At 48.5% G+C, this 21,697-nt stretch overlaps 3 annotated features.

Moving 5' to 3' along the window:
* Positions 1,045-1,625: an enhancer, noted in NCBI's record as "H3K4me1 hESC enhancer chr20:669184-669764 (GRCh37/hg19 assembly coordinates)". NCBI's record gives its function as "activates a minimal SCP1, AML or CMV promoter by ChIP-STARR-seq in primed H9 embryonic stem cells {active_cell/tissue: H9 hESC(primed)}" and the evidence as "EXISTENCE:reporter gene assay evidence [ECO:0000049][PMID:30033119]".
* Positions 1,626-2,204: an enhancer, noted in NCBI's record as "H3K4me1 hESC enhancer chr20:669765-670343 (GRCh37/hg19 assembly coordinates)". NCBI's record gives its function as "activates a minimal SCP1, AML or CMV promoter by ChIP-STARR-seq in primed H9 embryonic stem cells {active_cell/tissue: H9 hESC(primed)}" and the evidence as "EXISTENCE:reporter gene assay evidence [ECO:0000049][PMID:30033119]".
* Positions 21,497-21,697: a silencer, noted in NCBI's record as "peak4111 fragment used in MPRA reporter construct". NCBI's record gives its function as "represses an SCP1 promoter by STARR-seq MPRAs in K562 erythroleukemia cells {active_cell/tissue: K562}" and the evidence as "EXISTENCE:reporter gene assay evidence [ECO:0000049][PMID:32103011]".

Below are 21,697 nucleotides of genomic sequence, written 5' to 3' on the forward strand. Positions count from 1 at the left end.
GGCTCAGAGGAAAGGCTCAATGCATGTCCATGGTGTCAACAAATCAGTGGCACAGGATACAGTTTCCACACATCTCCCCATCCTGGTTGCTTCCCCGAACCATTTTCCAGTCTGTCAGTGTTCTTCTGAATATACAGGATCCAGAACTGAGCACAAAACTCCAGAAATAGGTGAATGGAGCTGAGCAGAATGAAACTGTCACCTCCCTTACCGTAGATACCGGACTTCTAATTACATGACCAGACATTTAATAAGCTTGTTTTGTTTCCCTGGGTGGCATATATCAAGCTACTAGCAAGCGTTTTGTTTTCATGGTCCTCTACCCACATATTGTTGCAAAACCTCACTTTACTGCCCTTCTCCCTTAATTTCACGCTTATAATAGTATTGCCCCTCTCTCACTTCCCAGGAATGCCAAGTCGATTACAGCTCAAGAGCCCAATCTTGACTGGTCCGTAGCCTGGAACATGGTGCTGAGATAGATGCTGTAACTGAGTTTGGGCTCACTGAGAAAGACTGCTGCAATTGATTAACGATGTCTGCCAAGCTGTGTAAAGTGAAGTAATGTCATTCCCTATCACAAGTCCTAACCTGGGGTCCATGGAAAGAATTTAGTTGGTCTGTCATTAACTTGGATAGGGAAAGTATTACATCTTTAATTTCATTAACCTCTATCTGAAACTTATCATTCCTTCAATTATGAATGCAGGCAACAGACCACAGTGGTATTAGCAGGACCTGTGACTTTGTCACCAATAGAAATCACAGATTTTTTAAAATGACATTACAGACGTTCCGCATATCTTGAAATATAATTTACATGCACTGTGACTTGGAAATGATAAGTTATTTGCTAAGTACTCATTTACTTACTCACATTTGTTTAGCGCCTAGTCAATAGCCTGGTGACGTGCCAGGACCTGGGCTGGGTGCTATAGGCAAAAGGCAGATGCGTAAGGCTCAGTCCTTCCCTCAAAAGAGAAAAGCAGACAGTGACAATGGAAAGGCTTGATGCTTTGATGGGGGAAGTACCTGAGGCCCCCAACCCAGCCCAGAGGGATCAGGGAAGGCTTCCCAGAGGAAGTGGCCTCTCAGATGAGTAGGAAGTAACCAGACCCCTGAGTGCTGAGAAAAAGTGTTCAGGGAGCAGAAACAGCATGAGTAACGAAGCTAGGAAAGAAAGAGGACACAGGGCTTACAAAGTATTCCATGGCGGGGATGGGGAGGGGAGGAGAGAAGCGGGGAGATGGCTGGGGGGGTCAGGCAGGCCCCTGGAAGTCATGCTTGGCGGTACCCTGGTCGTGGGGGGGAAGGGGTGCTGGCGCTTGCTGCCCCATCTGTCTCAGTGGCATTGAGCTGTGACTTCAGTGGCCTGGGGAAGTTCAAGGTCACCTCTGGGGTGGAGGAGGTGGAGACATCTCACCAGGGCTGGCAAAGGCCAACTGGGAAGCTGGGGCCGATACCTGCCCCTCACGGCAGCCACCACAAGGGGCCTTCTGCTCCGAAGGCCCAAGCACGCCCTGTTCCTTTATTTATGGGCCGTGTGAGCAATTTGCTGCTTGCTGGCCGGCTGGCTGGGTGTGCGATGCGGGGATTACTCACGCCCCAGTTGTGGTCCGGCCTCTGCAGGCTGCGGGGTAGTGAGTGAGGTAATTAAGTGTAAAAGATGGAGCAGGCAGGGGAGGGCTGAGGGCGGTGAGCAGTCACTGGTTCTTTTCAGGAGCAGGGGAGTGAGATAATGTAGGATAATAGCCTAGCCAAACCCTGCCCAGGCAGCCCGGCCTGTGCTGAGAGGTGCCCCCCAAACGGCCAAGACAATTCAGCCTTTTCAGGGAAAATGGGGGGGCTTGGGCAGGGCCTGGCTCCCAGGGACAGCTGTATGGAAATGACAGCTCCTCTCCTTCGTCCTGTCCTGTGTTGGCTCAGGGTAGGGGCAAGTGTAAGTGTCTTCAGCTGGGGATGAGGCCAGGGCAGGGGGCAGTAGATGGGACCAGGAAAGCTGGTGGGTGAGAGGAGGGATCCATGCGGGGCTGGGAGACTGACCTGTGTATGTGGCACAGGCACAGTGGTTCGTGGCAGCAGACTCCAGGGCCTGACTCACCTGGTGGAAACTGTGGTGTGGCTTTGGCTAGCTGTGTGACATCAGCCTAGTTGTGGTCCTTCTCTGAGCCTCAGGACTCTCATCTGTCAAATGGGGCTGTCAAACAATTCCTACTTCCCGGGGGTGTTTGGAGAATGGTTCGTAGCGCCTGATGCACAGGGGCTACGAAATGCTTGACATGGTGAAGTCCAGAATCAGAGTGCATTAGTCATTCACTCATTCAGTGGATAAATGTTTATTGAGTGCCTACCATGTTCTAATGGTTCCTGGGAAAGCAGCAGTGACTAGAACAGAGTCCCTTTCCTCTTGGAGATGACATTCTAAGAGGGGAGACAGACCATTAATCGTGAAACACATAAGCATAAAAGGTCATACCAGCAATCCCACTTCTGAAAACTTATTCTATAGACATGTTTGCATACATGTGGAATGAATGCATTCATGGTTATTTATTGCAATTTTGTTTGGCATAGCAAAATCTTAGTAATGATCTAAATGCCTGTTACACATGGGCTGACTGAAGTATGGAATATTATATAGCCATTAAAAAGGGTGAGACCATTTCTATTTCTGTTTATTTTTATTTACTTTTTTTAGAGATGGGATCTCACTATGTTGACCAGGCTGGTCTTAAACTCGTCACTGGTGAGACCATTTCTTATGTACTGATATAGAAAGCTCCCTAAGATGTTTTGACAAATAAGAAAAGGAATGTGAAGGATAGTTTCTGTAAAAGAGGAGACAATTTGAAAAATGTATTTCTATTAGCTTGTGTATATATGAAACTAATAATAGTTGTTACCCAAGGAGAGGAGTAGGGTTGGAATGAGAGACAGGAAGGGGAGAGTTTCACTGTATACTTTTCTATAACTTTTATTTTTGTATGAAGTGAATGTATTACTAGTTCAAAAAAGAGAAAATAAATATTCAGCTTCCTCTTTCCTCCTTTCCTTCCTCAGCATTTGTTGGAGGTAGCTGTTGAGATTTGGGACTAAGCAACAAAGGCAGCTGAGTGAGGTGGTGGCTCAGTGTGCCTGGGGATTGAACAAACAGGTTCATATATCAAGGATAATGAGAGCCAGGTTGCTCAGCATCAGAGAAGGGAATTACAAGTATGAAAACAGGAAAGGCTAGAAAGAACCCTGTGGTGTTAGATTGGAGTTAGAGGAATCAGTGTAAACTCATAGCTTTTGATATATATAGTTACATAAGCATGCATGCAAGTGTGTGTGTGTGTGTGTGTGTGTGTGTGTGTGTGTGTGTGTGTGTGATGCATATGTGCATTTCCCAGTTCTGTCCAAAAAGACAGCAATAATCAATACACCATGTAGCCACGAATACACCTAACACCTAGATCTTGGGTTTTAAATACTATTCTCCACTGAAAGGAACTGGGGCTTGGGAAAATAGTAGATTTGAGGGCTGGAGCAGGAAAAGTGCCCTGTGCCTGGTACCATGGTACATGAAACATCTAGCTGTGCCATATGATAGGCAAGTGCTCAAGTAATGCTGAGGACATGTCAAAAGACCAAGGTGCCAACTTAAAGGGACTCCCAATGGCCAAATCTGGGACAACTTGAGTATCAAAATAATGACAGTAACAGATTATAAGCCATGAAATATAAATAGTCCTGATATACAGACACATACACGTATTACATACACACATACATACATACACACATGTGCAGAAAGAGAAAGCTCTTTCTTACACTAGAATGCCCAATAATAGGTGTGGAAGGAAGGATGCAACTAGTATGGTAATAATTGATTCAAACAAGAAGCATTACTAGATGCTAAAACTAAAGCCATTGTGTGAAAATTTGTTGAGGAGTAGGATATTTACATAGTCTTAAAGAGTCTTTCCACAAGATACAATACCTGCAAAAGGAAGGAGAGTGACTTTATAGCGAAGAAACATGGCAGAGACTATCTTAGTCGAGTGATCAAAGGCTGCATCACTGTTACTGGACAAACTGACATGAGGCTCCTGATGGGATGCACAGGGAAGAGTGAAAAATCACTTCTGTGATGTTCCTGCCAGAGATGCAAAACTGAAATCTAATCACGAGGAGCCGTCACATAAACCCAATTTGAGGAACCTTCTACAAAACAACTGGCCTGTAACCTGGGTAAGTATCAAGGTAATGAAAGGCAAAGAAAAACTGAGGGACCGTCACAGATTAGAGGAGACTAAAGAGATAAGACAATGAAATACAATGAGTAATTCTGGATGGATCTTTTTGTTTATTATAAAGGACATTATTATTGAGACAATGGACAATATTTGACTGGGCTCTGAAGATTGGATGGTAGTAATATATCAATGTCAATTTCCTGATTTTGATGATTTTATTGTGGTTATGTAGGAGAATATACTTGCTTTTAGGAAATGTACACTAAAGTATTCCAGGATAACAGGGAATCAAATTGACAATTTACTCTCAAACAATTCAAAGAAAATCTCTCTATATATAAATCTCTAAGAGAGAATGATAAAGCAAATATGTTTAAATGTCAATATTTGGGGATTCTGGGTAAACAATATATGAGAATTCTTTGTACAATGTTTGCAACTCTTCTGTAGGTTTAACATTATTTTACAATAAAGTTATTTACATGAAACTGAAACCATATGATGTCAAGTAATGATAAGTGATATATAGAAAAATCAAGTGGGCAGAGGAACAGAAAATGAGGGGGTGGTGCTATTCTAGATGGTATGGTCCAGGCAGGCCTCTCTAGGGGAGGACCTTTGAGCAGAGACCTAGTGGGAGGGAGGGAGTAGCTCCATGGATACTTGGGGAGAGTCTCAAAGGCCGAGGGACCCATCTGAGAAAAGGCCCAGAGTGGGACCAGCTTGGCCTGTGTATTAGTGTCTATTGCTATGTAACAAATCATCACCAACTTAGTGGCTTCAAACAACAGCCATTTAGCTCACAGTTCTGTAAGTCATCGTCTGGCACAGAGCAACTGAGTTCTTTGCTCAGGATATTACAAGGTAGAAACCAAGGTGTAGGTTGGGCTTAGTTCTTATGTGAAGGCTCTGGGGAAAAAATCCACTTCCAATTTCATTCTTTTCTTTTCTTTTTTTTCTTTTTCTTTTTTTTTTTGTGCAGTTGCAGAGAGGAAAGGAGGAAATTTTTCGATAGAAAAATCTTGGAGATCCTGTTGCTGTCACCCATCGGGCTGTTGGAAGCTGGGGTTAGTCCAGAAGTCTTCAGGTAATGCCAGGGTGTTGCCCTGGCCAGGAACTCTCAGTTGCCTCTGAACTTCTTCCAGCCCCACATGATGGCTAAGCTCTCCATGAAAGGAGACCAGTTGGAAACAAAGCCAACATTCCCAGCACCCTGAGGGCACTGAAGGATTGGCTAAGTTCTCCCCGGCAAGCCTGTTCCCTGAGAAAATGGAGGACAGAGTCCTTAAAATGAAAGAGCTGGGGTCTGTGCCTATACTCACTCTTTCAATGAATCTACGTCGGATCCCAGGCAGGCCCCCACAATGAAGTGGTGTTGTTCAACTGAGGTAATACCCAAGGTTCGTTGTCTCATGGCCACAGAAAACTAGGACTCGGACACACCAGAGTGAGGTTAAGAGCAGAAGTTTAATAGGCAAAAGAAAGAGAAAAGCTCTCTCTGTTGCAGAGAGAGGGGTCCTGGCGAAAATGGGTTGCCCCCAAGTTCATTCTTGTTGTTCGCAATGTTCAGCGTCTTGCGGTTGTGGGACTGACCGTAACAGACGATTTTTTTGTTGGCTAGAAGCCACCTGCATTCCTTGATGTGTGGCCCCTCCATCTTCAAGTGAGCAATGGTGTTTTGAATCCTCCTTATGCTTCATGTCTTTGACTTCCTCTTCTGTGACCAACCGGGAAAAACTCACTGCTTTAAAAGGGCTCTTAGGATTAGATCAGGTACTGTGTTAGTTCACTTTTGCATTGCTATAAAGAAATACCTGAGGCTGGGTGATTTATAAAGAAAAGTGGTTTAATTGGCTCATGGCTCTGCAGGCTGTACCAGCATAGCTCTAGCATCTGCTTCTGGTGAGGCCTCGGGAAGCTTCTAATCATGGTAGAAGGTGAAGGGAGAGCAAGTGGTGTCACATGGTGAGAGCCAGAGCAAGAGAGAGAAGGGGAGGGTGCCAGATTCTTTTATTTTTTATTTTTGTTTTTTGAGACAGAGTCTTGCTCTGTTGCCCAGGCTGGAGTGCAGTGGCATGATCTCGGCTCACTGCAACCTCCACCTCTCGGGTTCAAGTGACTCCCATGCCTCAGCCTCCTGAGCAGCTGGGACTACAGGTGCACGCCACCATGCCCAGCTAATTTTTTTGCATTTTTGTTAGAGATGGAGTTTTGCCATGTTGCTCAGGCTGGTCTCGAACTCCTGAACTCAGGCAATCTGCCCACCTTGGCCTCCCAAAGTGCTGGGAATTCAGGCATGAGACATGGCGCCTGGCCCCAGACTCTTTTGAACAAGCAGATCTGTGAACTAACCGGGTGAGAACTCACTTATTACCAAGGGGATGGTGGTAAACCATTCATGAGGAATCCGCCCCGGTGATCCAATACCTCCCGCCAGGCCCACCTCCGACACTGGGAATCACATTTCAACGTGAGATTTCAGAAGACACACATCCAAACCGTATCAAGCATACCCAGAGATTTTCCGTATCTTAAGGCCATTTATGCCAAATAACATAAGCTGATCACAAGAGTAAACGCCACCATATTCACAGCGCAGGGTATTTTACAGGACATGTACACAGGATGGGGAGGACTGGGCTGAAATCCTGGAGGCCATCTTAGAATCTGCCTATCATAGTTGCCGGGGTTGAGAAACAAGAAAGCCAGTGTGGCTGGAGCACAGTGAACAAGGGGGTGCAGGGAGGAGAGACAGCAGAGTATCACAGGTGGAGAGACACATATATACCACCTAGCCTGATGGGAGGCTGAAGGCCTGAAAGTCACCTTGTGCAATTTTGGTTCCTGAGGAAGGGGAGGGTCATGCGAGTTCCTCCATGGATTCACTTGCACTAAAAAGCACCCCTGGGGTGGGACCCAGTCGATGATGGAAGTCAATGGAATGCGTGTTGAAGAGTAGCCCTTGGAGAACCAGTGGGCTGCTGGGCATAGGTGATAAGTTCTGCTCTGTGCATTTGGCCCAGTAGGCACAATGCCAAGAAGCCATGGGCTCGTCAAGGATCCATGGAGAAGTCTGAAATCTAAAAAAGCTGGCTGGAAAAATATTTTAAAACTTTCCAAACTTGAAAGACTTAGTGAAGTGCCTACCAAGTAGCATTGTGTCAATGGGTCATGAGCAACGCCCAAGTCTCCTAATAGTTACATATGCGTTCTATGTGATGTGACTGCATTTTGTTTCCATTTTAACATTATTGTATTTATTTTTTCGTAGTATCATGTGCAATGTACAAATAAAAAGGAACAAAAGGAGATGCCCTGAAAAGCAAGTCTCTCTCCCACCTCTGACCCCCAGCCACGCACCCTCTCCCCACTGAGGCGTTTCCTGTACTCAAAGGTATTTTGTGCACATGCTAATGAACATGTATATATACACCTGACTCCTCCCCTTTTCACAATGGTGGCTGTTCTGCCTGCTTTTTTTCTTTTTTCTTGGCAGTACATCTTGGAGATGTTTCCTATTGGCTCATGTGGAGCTGCCCATTCTTTTGTACAGCAGCAGAGCAGTCTGTTATTTGGATGAACTGTCATTTATTAACTAGACATGCCCACAACCCTGCCACCTCTTTTCCTAACACACTGGGCAGTCTTGGCCTCTCCCAGGCTCCCTGGGAGGGTCACTACTTTCACAAAGATGATGCCCACTTCTGCCCATGGAATCTGGCTTGCCCAGTGACTACCTGACAGGGTTGAGTGACACCACCCAGAAGTGCAAAGAAGGCAGTAAAGAAGAAAGAAGAATTTATTAGGTGCCCGAGGAAGGGCTCAATCCTGCCAGTCTAAACATTGTTGTACATACCTCCTGATATGTTTTTCTAGAATGTCTCCAGGAAGGGATTGCTGGGAATAAGTGCAAAATAATGCCCAATTGTTCTCCAGAGTGGTTGTACAACTGACTCCCTTATCACCAGTGTCAAGGAGTCCTTGTTCCACATAATTGATCACATTTGGACTTGTCTAGCTTTTTAAGTTTTGCCAATTGAGTAGACAGGAAATGAGCTTTTAATTTGGATTTCTCTAATTACTCAGAGGTTGAGCATCTTTTCAAATGTTTGTTGGCTATTCATGTTTTCGCTTCTCTATGTCTGTCCAAATCTTTAGTCCATTTTTCTTTTTGATTGTTTGTCCTTGTCTTATTGAATTGTAGGGGTTCTTTATATATTTGGGTGCTAATCTTTGTCAGTTAAATTGTTACGGACATCTTCTAGCTTGTGACTTGTCTTTCCACTTTTAAAAAATGGTGAACTTTGATGAACGGTATCGGTTGTAATGTAACTAATTTATTAATATATGCCTTTATGGTTTGTCCTTTCTGTTTCTTGCTTCAGGAATCCTTTCCAACCCAAAGCCATCCCCATGTTTCTATGATGCACATGTATATATATTATTTATTTATTTATTTTTTGAGATGGAGTCTCGTTTTGTCCCCCAGGCTGGAGTGCAGTGGCGCAATCTCGGCTCACTGCAAGCTCCGCCTCCTGGGTTCACGCCATTCTCCTGCCTCAGCCTCCGGAGTAGCTGGGACTACAGGCGCCCGCTACCATGCCCGGCTATTTTTTTTGTATTTTTTAGTAGAGACAGGGTTTCACCATGTTAGCCAGGATGGTCTCGATCTCCTGACCTCATGATCTGCCCACCTCGGCCTCCCAAAGTTCTGGGATTACAGGCGTGAGCCACCACGCCTGGCACATGTATATATATATTTTAAAAAGATCATATGTGCATCCTGTTTTGTAGCTACTTTTCCACTTACCTAACATGAAGGAACATTTTTTCCATGTTTAAATAGTCTACAACATCTTTGGTAAATGGTTGCATAGTTTTCCATTGTATGGAATATACAGTCTTTATTTACTGAATCCCCTGTGATGAACATTTAAGTTGCTTTCAGCTTTCATATGATCAATAATGCTGCCAAGAATATCCTGAAGCTGTTGGGGTCCACATTCATGATCATTTCTCTTAGATAAAGTCATAGAAATGAAATTGCCCATAGAATTTAAGGCTTCGGATACATTTGACCAAATTTGCCAGAGGATCCACTTTTGATTCCTTTCCAAGAAGCAATATGCCATTGTGTTCAATTGCCCTTCCCAAGAGTCTGGAATCAGCAAAGTAGGGGTCCTGGAGATGATGTTTTGAACTGGAGCTGTTAGCAGGCATGTTCTGTTGTGTGCAGAAATAGTTACTGTAGCAGTTAAAGATTTTCCCTGTCCTCTTCCTTCCTACCCTCTCCTGACTCCTGACAGGTAAGATGCCATTATTAGTACTATTAAGAGAAAAGAGCCAAGAAATTAGGCCTGCTTTGGTAATGATTCTTGGCTAATTAATTGCATTTCCAATGGCCATAAGCTCCTGCTTCAACCAGCACCTCTATGTGTTGAAGGCAAGAAAAGGGGTCCACTACAGCTGCTACCTCCTGGGCTGGGCACATAACATTCTCATAAAAATGTTTGTCCAGTCAATGAAGGATTTCGGTTTTTTTTAAGAGACAGGGTCTCATTCTGTTGCCCAGGCTGGAGTGCAGTGTCACGATCACGGCTCACGCAGTCTTGACCTCCTGGGCTCAAATGATCCTCCCACCTCAGCCTCAAATGATCCTCCCACCTCAGCCTCCCGAGTAGCTCGGACCACGGGCACATGCCACCATGCCTGGCTGATTTTTGTATTTTTTGTAGAGATGGGGTTTCGCCATGTTGATGAGGCTGGTCTCGAACTCCTGGCTCAAGCAATCCACGTGCCTCGGCTTTCCAAAAAGATTACAGGCATGAGCTACCGTGCTCCCGGTCAGGAATCTTTTAAAAGTCTCCTGGGTTGTCTTGGATGAGAAAAATAAAAAGAAGTCTCCCAGAGAACTTGAAAGCCTTAGATCAGGATTCCCTTCCTTCAGAGGGGTAAGAGGTGGGTGCCAAGCATTTAATTCTTAAGCATTTATTTTAGCAAATATCAACATGTATAGTAATTGATACTTTTATAGTAATTGATATTAATTTTCATGTATGGCAGCACAAAGTTTCCCATTAGCGTGAACTGGCTTTTTGTTTTTTTAAATGAGGCTATTTAAAGAAAAATATTAAGTAAATTGGTGGAAGATAGCCTGCAGATGGGGGTGGGGAGGAGGTGGTGTGATTCCGCCCAAACTTCGAGAAACACTGCTTCGGTGGAAACCGCTCCGTGAGGAAGGCCTTAAGCCAGGGCTGGGTTGGGTCAGGAGAAAGCAGGGCCTTGGGATTCCAGGCGGAGGGCACTGGGAGGCTCTGGAGGGTGCAGTGAGGCTGCCACAGTCAAAGGCCGGGCGGCTGGGAGGGGCTTTCGGAGCTCTTCCTGGTATTTAAATCATATTTAGGGATTATAAAGTGTGATCCTTCTCATTGTGTCATTTGACACTCACAGCAACTTTGTGGAGTTTCAGGCAATAAGGAGATTGCCTTGTCAGTTTACAGAAGGAAACGGAGGCAGAGAGAGACGCAGCAATTTGCCCAGGGTCTCAGGTGAGTAAAAGGCCTCAGTGGTGGGTGTGGGCAGCATGGCTGGAAGAAGCGGAATTTGGTGTGGAATTTGTGGAGATGTGTCAGGAGTTGCACCTCTGGGACTAGGGCACTCACAGCCCTCTCCTAATAACAATAACAACCACCATTAGCATTTATGGAGTGCTCGCTGCGGGCTGGCTCTGTGCTGAGCAACTCTGGCTGTCTCACTGCACACTTTACACTAACGCAATGGGAGGGGAGGTGTCATTATCCCCCAGAAAGTGTCAAGGGCAGGAGTTATTGATTCATGGTGTCTGCTCTTGTAGAAATTTGAATTCCAGTAAGGGAGAGGGGAGCCAGAAAATAACCACGGGAAGACATCAATGAATGAGATAATTTCACATAACGATAAATGCCAGGGAGAAAAAACCCACAGGGCAATGTGATATGGCCTCTGGAGGTGGAGAAGGAACTGCTCCAGATGAGGCCATCCGTGAAGGCTTCTCTGAGGAGGTGACATTAGAGCCAGAGCCAGTAACGTCTGGACTTGAACCTGGGCTTGCGGCATGGGAGAGTCCTGCATCTGACTCCAAACTTCCCCTCCTCTGTCTCCTGTGGATCACAGAATGCTTTTGCCAGAGACTCAATCCCTTGTTAAGAATCATGGAGTTGGCCGGGCACGGTGGTTCATGCCTGTAATCCTAGCACTTTGGGAGGCTGCGGCGGGTGGATCACTTGAGGTCAGGAGTTCAAAACCAGCCTGGCCAACATGGTGAAACCCCGTCTCTACTAAAAATACAAAAAATTAGCAGGGCATGATGGTGCGAGCCTGTAATCCCAGCTGCTCAGGAGGCTGAGGCAGGAGAATTGCTTGAACCTGGGAGGTGGAGGTTGCAGTGAGCCGAGATCCCACCACTGCACTCCAGCCTGGGTGACAGAGCTAGACTCTGTCTCAAAAAAAAAAAAAAAAAAAAAAAATCATGGAGTCCTGGCTTAGGGAACGGAGTGTCCAGGAACTAGGGATGAAAGGATGGTAAGATATCCAAGCTGGAGAGACCTCACCTGTGGTGCTGCCTTGTCCAACTCCAGGAGCTTCATGCACTTGCCGACAGTGGAGTTATGCCACGTTAGGGGTCACTCTAGATGATTCCCCTGGCCAAAGGGAAACCAAGTCCCAGAGACGAGATGGGTCCTGCCAAAGGCTGTAGCTTACAGCTGTGCAAGTTGTGCTGGGCTCCAGGGAGCCCAACTGGAGGCTAAGGGGATGCCTTGCATCCCACCAGGGGGCTGCACCAGGAAGAAAGGGTACCTGTTTCTAATTCACACAAAGGAATGCTATGGGCTAGGGGTGGCCCTGAGCCTCGTGGAGGATGGGGGCAGAGGTGAGATCCCCACATCGTTGTGCCATCCTTTTTCCCACCTCTCCTGCTTCCTGCTTTGTTCCTGCCAGTCCCTGGAGGGCAGGCGGGTGAGCATCTTCACCATTGAGGGATGCCCCCTCCTTAATTGTGGCAAGGGGGGCCCTTTGCAGCCCAGTGCAGGCCTTATGGGACAGTGAAGAGGAAAAGAAGCAAGCTGGCCAGGATTCCCTGGGGTTTTTGTGGAGCTGACAGGCTGAGGAGTGGTTGGTTCCGGGGGCGGGGGTGGCCCAGAAGTGCCTTATCTCCTCTGGGCCAGTGTCAGCTCCTGTCCCCAGCCTGCAGCACAGGCTGGAGCTGCCAGCCTGGGGACTGCAGCAAATTTGCATTTATATTGGAGACTTCTGTTTCCAGGGCTTGGGGGGAGGAGGGGTGGCCACCACCATCAGCTGAGCAGAGATGCAGGAGAGGAGGGGCCTGCAGCCCTGTCCTGCCAGGGGCACAGGAAGTGGCCGATGGGCCCAGTCTGCCTGGCTGAGGGAACAGTGGCACAGAAGGTTCTCTGGGCACGCGGCCGGCCCCGACAGCCTGCCTGTCCACCCTCCCAGACGCTCGCCAACATCAGCTGGGAGTTGGCTCTGCCCCCAGGCCTGGGAGAAAGGTCAGAGGCCGGTGCCAGCAAGGGACTAAGCAAGGCCAAAGCACTCCTGTGACAGGGTGCAACTGCGTGTCACCCGGTCTCAGCCCCACAAAATTGTAAATTGTTTTAGCCAAGAAAACGGAGGCTCAGAGGGGCTTAGCCATTAGCTCAAGGTGATCCAGCTTATCATCCATGCCCCATGAGCCTCCCAGGAACACCCGGGATACTCACACACCCTGGATGCCATCTATACTTAGGGGACAAAGAGGAGTTGACACCCCTTTTCCAGCTAAGTTCTGGAGGGTCAAGGGAAGTTATTGCAGGCTCGTGACACTGTTAGGGCTGGTTTTGTGACAGCTTAGGAATCATGTTTCTTTCTCTCTTTTCTTTCTTTTTTTTTTTTTTTTTTAGAGACAGTCTCACTCAGCTGCCCAGGCTGAAGTGTAGTGCAGTCATGGCTCACTGCAGCCTCAGCCTCCCGGGCTTAAGAGATCCTCCCACCTCAGCCTCCTGAGTAGCTGGGACCACAGGAGCATGCCACCATGCCTGGCTAATTTTTTAATTTTTTATTATTAGTAGAGACTGGGTCTCGCTCTATTGCCCAGGCTGGACTGGAACTCCTGGCCTCAAGGGATCCTCTCGTCTTGGCCTCCCAAAGTGCTGGTGTAAGTCATGGCTCCTGGCCTCATGTTTCGTTTTATGGTGAAATCCATAAAATGGGTTTTTTTAGGGCCAGGTTCAGGCCAGGTTTCCCCTTGTCTTTGGAGAATGTAGCTTCTCCCATCTGTGAGGTTCCATGTGAAGAAGGAATGGAAGGAAGGAGAGAAGACAAGAAGGGAAGGAGGGGGGACAGGAGGAGGGAGAAATAGGGAGTGAAGTATAGAATAAATAAATAGAAGAGGGGGGCCGGGCATGGTGGCTCATGCCTGTAATCCCAGCACTTCGGGAGGCCAAGGTGGGCGGTTCACCTGAGGTCGGGACCAGCCCGACCAACATGGAGAAACCCTGTCTCTACTAAAAGTACAAAATTAGCCAGGTGTGGTGGTGCATGCCTGTAATCCCAGTTACTCTGGAGGCTGAGGCAGGAGAATCGCTTGAACTCGGGAGGCGGAGGTTGCTCTCCAGCCTGGGCAACAAGAATGAAACTCTGTCTCAATCAATCAATCAATCAATCAGTAGAAGAGGGGATAGAAGGAAGGAGTGGAAGGAGGGAAGGAAGGGAGAGGGAGTAGATGAGAAGAGAAGATAGAGTCATCCTGCACCCCGCCCCCCAGGTGTGCTTGTTGCTGCTGGAAGTGCCCCCTCTGTGCCCTTTCCCTGGCTGTTGTATGGAATGGTGGTCCTCTCCCCATCCTCCTCACCCTACAGCTGAGACCTCCTGACCTCCAGTAGCAGGTGAGCCCTGCTCCAGGTGGGGGACCAGTGACAAGCTGGTTGGGGCTCCAGGAAGCAGAAGTTGGGGCCCTGTTGTGATCCCTGGGCTTTATTTCCATCCTCAGGGCTCAGCTGCCTCTGGAGGGGGCTCTGCCTTGCTCTTTGGGTTCTCTCCACACACTCCCTCCCCCACTCTTCCAGACGGAGGTCTTGGCCCCATTCCCCCAGCCTGTGGCTGTAGGCTTGCAGCTGACAAACCTCCTGGTCCTGGCTCTCCGTCCAGCAGAACAAGCCCTCCCTGTCTGTCACCAAACAGTCAGGACGGCCTGTTCCACCTGGCAGGCTGGACTATTGCCCAGCTTAGTCTTGGGAAGTGAGGACCAGGGCTGACAACCCACTGCCTGAGTTCAAATCTTTGCTGTGCCTCTTTCTGGCTGTGTGGCCTTGGGCAAGACCCGTTACCTCTCTGAGCTTCTGGCTTCTCATCCGTCAATGGGCATAATGTTAGGATCTGCCTCTTGGATTACTGTATGAATGATACGAGATCGTTCATGGAAAGTGCTTGGCTTGGTGCCTGGCACCAAGACATTTCAGCTTATATTATCCTAGCTGTATCCTTCAGTGTCTGTCTGGCCTAGGTGGGATGTCAGGTTCCAGGGACCTGTCCCCATGCTTCCTCCATTAACCCCTTTATGACTAGTGTCACCTGATATGACTATTTCAACACACATAGGATTGAACCCTGGTACTATTATACCATTACTACTTCTCCTAGTTGTTGTATAAGTGCTTATGGGATCAGGCACTGTTCAAGCCATTTTAAAATATGACTCCACATTCCTTTAAATTCCTCTAATCAAGAAGTGGGGCCTATGTCCCCTCTCTTGATTGCTCCCAGGAATAAAATATGGTTAGAAATGACCATGCTGGCTGCGTGCGGTGGCTCACGCCTGTAATCCCAGCACTTTGGGAGGCTGAGGTGGGCGGACCACCCGAGGGCAGGAGTTTGAGACCAGCCTGGCCAACCAACATGGTGAAACCCCATCTCTACTAAAAATACAAAAAAATTAGCCGGGCGTGGTAGCTGTAATCCCAGCTACTCGGGAGGCTGAGGCGGGAGAATCACTTGAACCCGGGAGGCAGAGGTTGCAGTCAGCCTAGATCGTGCCACTGCACTCTAGCCTGGGCAACAGAGTAAGACTCCTTCTCAAAATAAATAAATAAATAAATAATAAAAAAAATGACCATGCCACTTCTGCTTGAGTCTCTGGGGACACTCACTCTTGGAACTGTTGGAACCCAGCCTGCATGCTAGGAGGAAGCCCAGGACCCACGGAGAGGCCAGGTGTGGATGTTCTGGCCTGCAGTCTCCACTGTGCCACTCCTAACTGCCACACATGTGAGGGGAAGACAATTCTAGATGATTCTAGTCCCCTGCCTTCAACTCTTTTCAGCTGAGGCCCCAGATACTGTAGAACAGAAGGAAGCCACCCCCATGTGCTCTGTCTGAATCTGTGAGCATAAGAAAATGGTTAACAGTACTACACGTTGGGGTTGTTATGCCACAGTAAATCACCAGAATCCCTGTGCTGACTCATTTAAGCTTCACAACTTAGGAAGTAGCTGTTCTTATCATCTCCATTTCATAGATGAGGAAATTAAGACCCAAAATGCTTTAGCAAGCTACCTGAGTCCACAGATCTTCTAAGAGGAAGAGCTGGGATTCGTGCCCATGGGTTTGAGCATTGAAGAATCAAGCAGGGCCCATGTCCTACAGGGCCTAGTGGGCCACATAGGTGACTGGATGTCATCTTGAGGGCCTTGGAGGGCTGTGGGAAGACACTGATGTGTGGAATTCACGAGGTCGGGAGAGGGCACTAAGAAGCTTGCTTAGGTGCAACGTGGAGGGTGGGTGAGAAGGGGCTGGAAGTGGCCCACGAGGATGGACAGTGCCACCCTGCCATGGTCCACCATCCTCTCCATGTCCTGCTCCTCAAAGTTACGAGGGCAGCAGCAGGAGGCCTGGTCTCAGGCCCTAATGAGCTCTGCACCTATCAGAGCTTGGCCTAGCCGGAGATCCCAGCCAATTCCTTTGGGCTGACTTAGGCTGTGCCCTTGGACGGACAGAGCTGGGCAGTCAGGGCTGGGAGCCTGACAGTGTGAACAGGAAGTTGACGGCCCAGGAGCATCCTCTGTTCCCTGCACATCAAGGTGGGCCACATAGCTCCAAGATCATCTGTGCCAACTGGATCTACTGGGTTTGGAGTTGGCTGAGAGTGGAAGGGAGCCCACAAGAAGAGTGACCTAAAGAGGACAGACACTGATTTCTTTTTCTTATTACCAATCTGGAAGCAGGCAGTCCCGGGCTGGTATAATGGCTCTTTGATCCTCAGGGACCCAGACTCCTTCTATCTTGTTGTTCCACCCTCAACACTTCATAGTCCAAGGTGGCCGCTCATTCTCTGGCCATCATGTCCACATTCCAGCCAGAGGGAAAGAGGAAGAGGCAAAGAATGCTCTGGTCTCTTTAAGGACCCCTCACCCCCACCGCTCAGAAGTTGTACTCGGTACTCCGTTTACCTCTTCATGGCAGGAATGCAGACACATGGCCACCCCTAACTGCAAGAGAGGCTGGGAAGCGTGGTCTCTGTTCTGCCATCCATTCACCCAGCTATATCGGTGGGGAGGGGGTTCTCATACTGCGGGACATGGCAAATCGCTTGGAATGCCAGCCACACCTGGCACCTGGAAGCCAGAGTGAGTGTTTTGAAACTTGAATCATTTAACTTCGTTGCTTAAAATGATCCTGTAGCACTCACTGCTCCCATGATAAAGGCCAAATCCTCATCTGACCCCCAGGGCTGCCTGATCTCACCGTGGCTCACCTCTCCAGCCTCATGCCCTGGTTCCCCCAGCCCCATCCTCCCCAACTCACCCTAACATTGAAATTAAACCATGCCCACTCCATCCTCACCTTGGGTCTCCCTTTGTGCTCTGATATTTGGGTTCTCTTCATGCCACAGCTCCACCCAATGTGTGCTCTGCTTCCTTAGCTGTAAAAGGAGCTCCCCATAGTACCCACTGGGCACATAATAGGGTCACTTGCTTGGGTACAACGTGGCGGGTGGGTGAGAAGGGGATGGAAGTGGTCCACAAATAATGATTTGGGAGAACACAAATAATCAGACATAAAGAGCCACAGAGGCACTTACTGACTCTAAGGACTGTGGTTATAAAGCCCCTGCAATGTGCCAGGTTGGTACTATGGGGAGCTCCTTTTATAGATAAGGAAACAGTGCATGCTGGGCGGAGCTGTGGTGTGAGGTCCTGCTGCACTGCCTTGCTGATGAGAAAAAACACTTATGGGCAGAGCGCTTTACACTGAGCAACTCTGTGCCTGCCTTTGTCTCAGGCAGTCCTCTAGCCATTGTGCCCCCCCCTTTTTTTTTCTGAGATGGAGTTTTGCTCTTATTGCCCAGGCTGGAGTGCAATCGTGCAATCTTGGCTCACCGCACTCTCCACCTCCCAGGTTCAAGTGATTCTCCTGCCTCAGCCTCCCAAGTAGCTGGGATTACAGGCATGCACCATGACACCTGGCTAATTTTGGGTTTTTATTAGAGACGGAGTTTCTCCATGTTGGTCAGGCTGGTCTCGAACTCCTGACCTCAGGTGATCCACCCACTTCGGCTTCCCAAAGTGCTGGGATTACAGGTATGAGCCACCACACCTGGCCCACTGTGCCCCTTTTGCACATGAGGAAATGGGAGAGGGACTGTGATTCTGTAAGGTCATATAGCCAGGTAGTAGCCATGCCTTGACTGGAACCCAGCTCTGCCTGCCCCTTCCCTGCTGGCAGTTGCATCACCTGCCTTCTCTGGGGAGTGAATGAGGACAAGCCACACTTGACCTTCCATGGTCCTGTAGCAGAGATTTTAAAGTCCAGCTTTTAGAGAGGAACGTGAAAGCCCAGAGAGGAAGGAACTTGCCCTTGGTCCTATACTCCATCAAGCACAATGCTGGGAAGGGACTCAGGTCTCCTGACTCCCAGTCCAGAGCTCTTGCACACTTTGCTCCTTCATGCAACAAATATTTATTGAGCATCTACTGTGTACCAGCACAGTGCTAGCCCTTGAGAACACAGCAGCAAACACAACAGACACAAAACCCTGGCCCTGTGGAGTGGACATTCCAGGGCTGGGTGGAGGAGTGGGAGACCAATACGGACCAAGTAAGTCAGCTGCAGCACTGTCTTTCCTCTTATTTATTTCCGGAAACAAATAATTATGGAGAACTTTATTGCTATAAGACAGACATGGTCCTGACTCTCCTACAGTGAGAATATAGTGTTGGAGACAGGCACTCAATGAGAGACACATAAATAAGCAAAGTTCAGATTGTGATCATAGCTGAGAAGAAAACAAGGTTGAAGTGCTAGAGAGTAATGGGGATGCGGTACTGGTAGTTAACTTCAGATGGGGTGGCCAGGAAAAGCCTCTCCAGGAAGTGACTCTTGAGCTGAGACCCAAAGCATGCAATGGGGCCCAACAGTGTTCCAGGTGGAGGGAACAGCAAGTGCCAGGGTGCAGAAGTAGGACAGAGCTTGGTGGGAGAAAGGAACAGAGAGAAGGCCAAGGTGGCTGGAGCAGGGCGAGAGGGGGAGGTTGGCAAGAGGGAGGGGGCTGGAGAAAGTCCAGAGTGTCGTGGATAGACACTGAATAAAGAGAAGGGATGACTAGCCCCCTACAGTTCACCCCTGGGTGGGGGTTGGGTAGTCGTCTTTGCATCTGATAATTTCCCAGCTAGACCCCCAAGGGGTGGGGGCCAAACACCTGCTGGCCTGGCACTGCCTGTCTCTGCAGAGATAAAGTTCCCTGCCCCCCGTTCACCAGGACCCCGCTCTGTGGTGCCTCCACCTGCACAGTCAGGCAGGGCATTGTGTGTTCCGGCCGGCACACCTGGCATTCACCAGCCTGCTGGTTGCCTGATTTAGGGGCTCATCCTGCCTGGCTCAGGGGTCTGTTCCCTGGAGTCTACCAGCTGGGACTAGGCTGGCTGAGGAGGAAGACACAGGCGCTGGTGGTGGCCACAAAGAAGGCACCCTTTACCGTTGCACGCCCATTGGACCATGTTTGAAACCCCAGGCCTCCCTTTTCCAGCCATCCTTCCCTGGGTGGCAGAGTCTGGGCTTGGGCAGAAAGGTTCAAGGGGCAGTTTCACTGCTGTGCTTAGAAATTTTCTCTCCCTCTCTGGGCCTGTTTCCTCATCTGTGCAACGGAAGGGTTGACCTGGATAAACTCATGGTGTAGACTCTAGAGCCAGACTGCCTGGGTTTGAACCTTTACCACGTAGTGACCATATGAATTTAGCTAAGTTACTCAACCTTTCGTTCTCAGTTTACCTACATGTAAAATGGAGGTACAATAATAACACCTATTTCAAGGGCTGCGGGAGGATTAAGTGAATTATATATGTCTGGTGCTTCAAACAGTGCCTGCTCTATGGTAAGTGCTATATATTTTAACTCTGATCATTATTATTAACGTCTTTGGAAAACATTGCACTGGAAAGACTCAGTGGAGAAATCTGAGTTCATTTGTTTGCAAACTTTTTGGTCTTTGTTTTTAACAGAGAAGCTCTGCATTGGTCAGGAGAAATTTTACTCAGAGCCCCAGCTGTTAGCAGGGGATTGAAGGGGGGCGCCTGCCCCACCTGCTTCCCCGTCTCTGTGTCTGCAGCCCCCAAGAGGCCTACTGGAGCATAACTTGAAAATCCCTGCTCAGTTTATCTCCTTCAGCTCACAGTCAGGGAAACTGAGACTCAGAGAGGAGCAGGGATCTGCCCAGTGAGTGGCCCAGCCTAGACTAGAACCCAGATCTCCTATTTTTCTCAATACAAGACAAGGGGCAGGGGCTAAGAGAGAAGCTAAGACCAGAAGCCTCTTAGGGGACTGGGTGCATTGTGTCGTCAAGTCATTAGCATGCAAATGATATGCAAATGAATGCAAAACAGCATGTTTTATGCTAATTTGCAGAGTCGAGAGCGACGACATTTTTGGTAATAGGGCGGCAGTCCTGGTCCCTGGGCATTGCCGAACACGCGTCCTTTTTTTCTTTTCTTCTTTCATTATTATGATCGGGCCCATAAATCTTGGTTTGGCTGTGACTCCGCCCCTTCTTGCTTGAAAGCCTGGCTCCTATCATTCTCAAGGGCTCCCTTGCCAGTCCTCTGGTCCGGCCTGGGCCCAGGGACAGGCCTGAGCAGTGGGTCAGAGAACCAGGACTCAGGAGCCACCAGTCAGAGCTAGAGGGTGACCCCAGCTCTGGCCTGGAAGCCACTTCTGAAGGAGGGGACCGTGGCACTTCCTCTGAGCTCCCACAGCCACTGTGGCTTCTGTGCCATTGTCTGTTTGGGGCTGGCTTGCTCCTTTTCTTGTCAGGGCGCCCAGTACCTGGAACACAGGTTCAGGATGTGTTTGGTGTTTGAAGACTGAATCCATATATGGAGAGCTGGTGGTGTACCCTAGTGATGAGCCTGCAGTCTCTGAAAACATGCAGCTTGAGTTAAAACCCTGGCACCACTACTTTCTGAGAAAATAGTAGTATGTACTCACAGCTAACCTTTTGTTTTTGTTTTGTTTTGAGACAGGGTCTCATTCTGTGGCTCAGGCATGAGTGTAGTGGCATGATTGCAGCTCACTGCAGCCTCAGCCTTCTGGGCTCAATCCATCCTCCCACCTCAGCCTCCTGAGTAGCTGGCACTACAGGTGCACACTGCTACCATGCCCAGCTAATTTTTTTTTTTTTTTTTTTTTGTAGAGATGGGGTCTTGCCATGTTGTCCAGGCAGGTCTCGAACTCCTGGGCTCAAGCCATCCTTCTGCCTCGGCCTACCAAAGTGCAGGGATTACAGGTAAGAGCCATCACACCAGGCCCATAGCTAATTGAGCACCTACCATGTTCCAGGGCTCTGCTTTGTAATTGTTGTGAACGCTGTCACTGATAAGAGTATCCTAGAAGGTGAGTATCGTTATCATTGCTCTCATTTTACAGAGAGGGTTAAATGATTTGCCTGAGGTCACACTCCCCAGGGTAATGGTAAAGGGGTATTTATATTTACTAAGGATGAGTGCTTCATCAGGCAGGGGCCTTTAAGGCACTCAGCAAAGCTTCTGTCACAGGGTACCAGGGTCTCCACCTGTGCTATCAAGCCACTCTTTTGACAATGTTAAACTTTACCTGAGCCCTGTGCTCCTGAAAAACAGCGATGGTCCAGAAATCCCCCCAACTTTTTGTTTTCTGAAGTCTCCCTACCTTTTCTGTTCAGGGAAATGGCTTAGCAAAACGAGCCACCCTTCCCCATATGACTCAGATAAGACGTAGTCCCCTCTTTCTAGTGTATCCTGTAAGACTGGAGGATGACTCCCTTGCTGGCCTGTGATCTTTCCCCTTTTGCTGGAACCTGCTGACAAGGCCAAGGCCAAGGACCCTCCCACTTCCCATTCTTTGTCTCATGGTTGATTAGCTGAGATGAGAACTGTGTGTCCTCTCTGAAACTAGCTAGA

Source organism: Homo sapiens, chromosome 20 (genome assembly GCF_000001405.40).
Source record: "Homo sapiens chromosome 20, GRCh38.p14 Primary Assembly".
Classification (NCBI taxonomy): Eukaryota; Metazoa; Chordata; class Mammalia; order Primates; family Hominidae; genus Homo; species Homo sapiens.